The following is a 2,275-nucleotide window of genomic DNA, read 5'->3' on the forward strand; positions in this document are numbered from 1 at the left end:
ATTACAGACTGCACCACTGCACCTGACTAATTTTGTATTTTTAGTGGAGATGGGGTTTCTCCATGTTGGTCAGGTTGGTCTCAAACTCTCGACCTCAGGTGATCCACTCGCCTTGGCCTCCCAAAGTGCTGGGATTACAAGCGTGAGCCACTGTGCCCCGCCGAGGAACAGAATTTTAAGGATAAGTTTCCTTAATTGGTCCGGGGGTTTCTGGAAGCGGCTCTTTAGTTTGAGTAGACCTAAAAATGCTAGGGACTCTACTTCTACTTGTACAGAGGGCACTGATAGTCCATGGCATGAACAGTTTTAGAGATACGCAAAATAAATGCATTTGATACTCATAATTTACTACTTATAAGAGGCAAAGAATTTAATGACTCTATACATAATATTCTCAAACATTTGTGGAAACACCAAGGAATATAATTGTGTCCGGAATTGGTTCCTGCCGGTGGGTTCTTGGTCTTGCTGACTTCAAGAATGAAGCTGCGGACCCTCGCGGTGAGTTTTACAGTTCTTAAAGATGGGTGTCCAGAGTTTTTTCCTTCAGATGTTCAGATGTGTCTGGAGTTTCTTCCTTTTGGTGGGTTCATGGTCTTGCTGACTTCAGGAGTGAAGCTGCAGACCTTCACAGTGAGCGTTACAATTCTTAAAAAGGGCGCATCAGAAGTTGTTCGTTCCTCCTGGTTGGTTTGTGGTCTCACCAGCTTCAGGAGTGAAGCTGCAAAGCTTTGTGGTGAGTGTTACAGCTCATAAAGGTAGTGTGGACCCAAAGAGTGAGCCGCAACCAGATTTATTGTTAAGAGCGAAAGAACAAAGAGCAAAAGAACAAAGCATCCCAAGCCTGGAAGGGGAGCAAAGCAGGAGCAGTTGCTACTGCTGGCTCAAGTGGCCAGCTTTTATTCCCTTATTTGGCCCCACCCACATCCTGCTGGTTGGTCCGTTTTTACAGAGTGCTGATTGGTGCGTTTACAAACCTTTAGCTAGACACGGAGTGCTGATTGGTGCGTTTTTACAGAGTGCTGATTGGTGTGTTTACAAACCTTTAGCTAGACACAGAGCACTGATTGGTGCATTTACAATCCTTTAGCTAGACAGAAAAGTTCTCCAAGTCACAACCCCACCCAGAAGCCCAGCCGGCTTCACCTCTCATAATGATGTTGGTTGGTTGCTCCTAGTGTCACTGGATAGAATGATGAAGGAATTGGATGATCTCCTGGAATGGATTTCCTGACTCCCAGTCCACATAAGTGACTTAAGAGTTTCTAGGTGTGTCCTGAGTCAGAATCTTCTCTCCTGTGACTACAGGTCTGAAATTGCCAAAAATCAAACACAAACCCTCATCACATGACTGGTTGAATTGCAAGGAAAGCTGAACTCTCAGCCTCACAGACTACCTACTGTTAAAGTGAGGGCATTGATTAGGAAACAGTGGAATTCTGCAAATTGTGATGAAGACCTGTAGGAAGACCCTGATGAACCTCATGAGTCTCATTGGCCAGAAGTGACCTCCCCATTTCTACTCCCACCCTCAGAGGCAGCAGTGTCCCCACACACAGTGGTATCAACCTTTCTGCTCCCTTTGAGGGGATTAACCGGAAATAGTAATGGCTTCCCCTGAAGCAGTAGCCATACAAGATAATGCTGATTCTCCTCAGGACCCAACCCCACCACCCTTTTTTGCTTCTAGAACTGTAACTAGATTCAAGTTTCATCAGGACCCTAAAGGCGAAATACCAAGTGTGAGTCAGGAGGAGGTGTGATACATTCCAAAAGGGCTACTTGAGTTTTCTAATTTATAAAGCAGAAATATGGAGAACACGTGGGGGAATGGATATTAAGGGTGTGGAATAATGGTGGAGGGAACCCACAGTTGGATCAGTCTGAAATTTATTAATATGAACCCACTAAGTAGAGATTCTGCATTTAATGTTGCAGCTCAGGAGTAAGAAAGGTGCTAACAGTTTGCTTGGCTGAAACATGGATCAAAAGACGTCCCATCAACAGCAAGTTAGAAATGGCTGATGTCCTGTGGTTTACCGTAGAGGAAGGGATTCAAAGGTTGATAATGCTAGAGTGAATTTGCCACGTGAAACCTCACCCACACTAGGAGGGCCCAGAAGACATACCTTTCACCAATGCCTTGAGAAATAGATTTGTAAGGAGAGCCCCTGAATCCCTGAAGAGCTCTGTGACTGCTCTTCTCTGTAGACCATACCTTACAGTGGGAACCGTAGTCACTTAATTGAAAAACATAAATGCAATGGTAATAATT

General features: G+C 44.7%; 2 annotated features.

The window, feature by feature from the left end:
• Window positions 476-1,675: an enhancer, noted in NCBI's record as "BRD4-independent group 4 enhancer chr6:17341060-17342259 (GRCh37/hg19 assembly coordinates)". NCBI's record gives its function as "activates an origin of replication core promoter dependent on BRD2, P300/CBP, MED14 and CDK7 cofactors, and independent of BRD4, by STARR-seq in HCT116 cells {active_cell/tissue: HCT116}" and the evidence as "EXISTENCE:reporter gene assay evidence [ECO:0000049][PMID:35650434]".
• Window positions 851-1,051: a silencer, noted in NCBI's record as "peak5700 fragment used in MPRA reporter construct". NCBI's record gives its function as "represses an SCP1 promoter by STARR-seq MPRAs in K562 erythroleukemia cells {active_cell/tissue: K562}" and the evidence as "EXISTENCE:reporter gene assay evidence [ECO:0000049][PMID:32103011]".

The sequence above is a fragment of the Homo sapiens genome, chromosome 6, assembly GCF_000001405.40.
Source record: "Homo sapiens chromosome 6, GRCh38.p14 Primary Assembly".
Classification (NCBI taxonomy): Eukaryota; Metazoa; Chordata; class Mammalia; order Primates; family Hominidae; genus Homo; species Homo sapiens.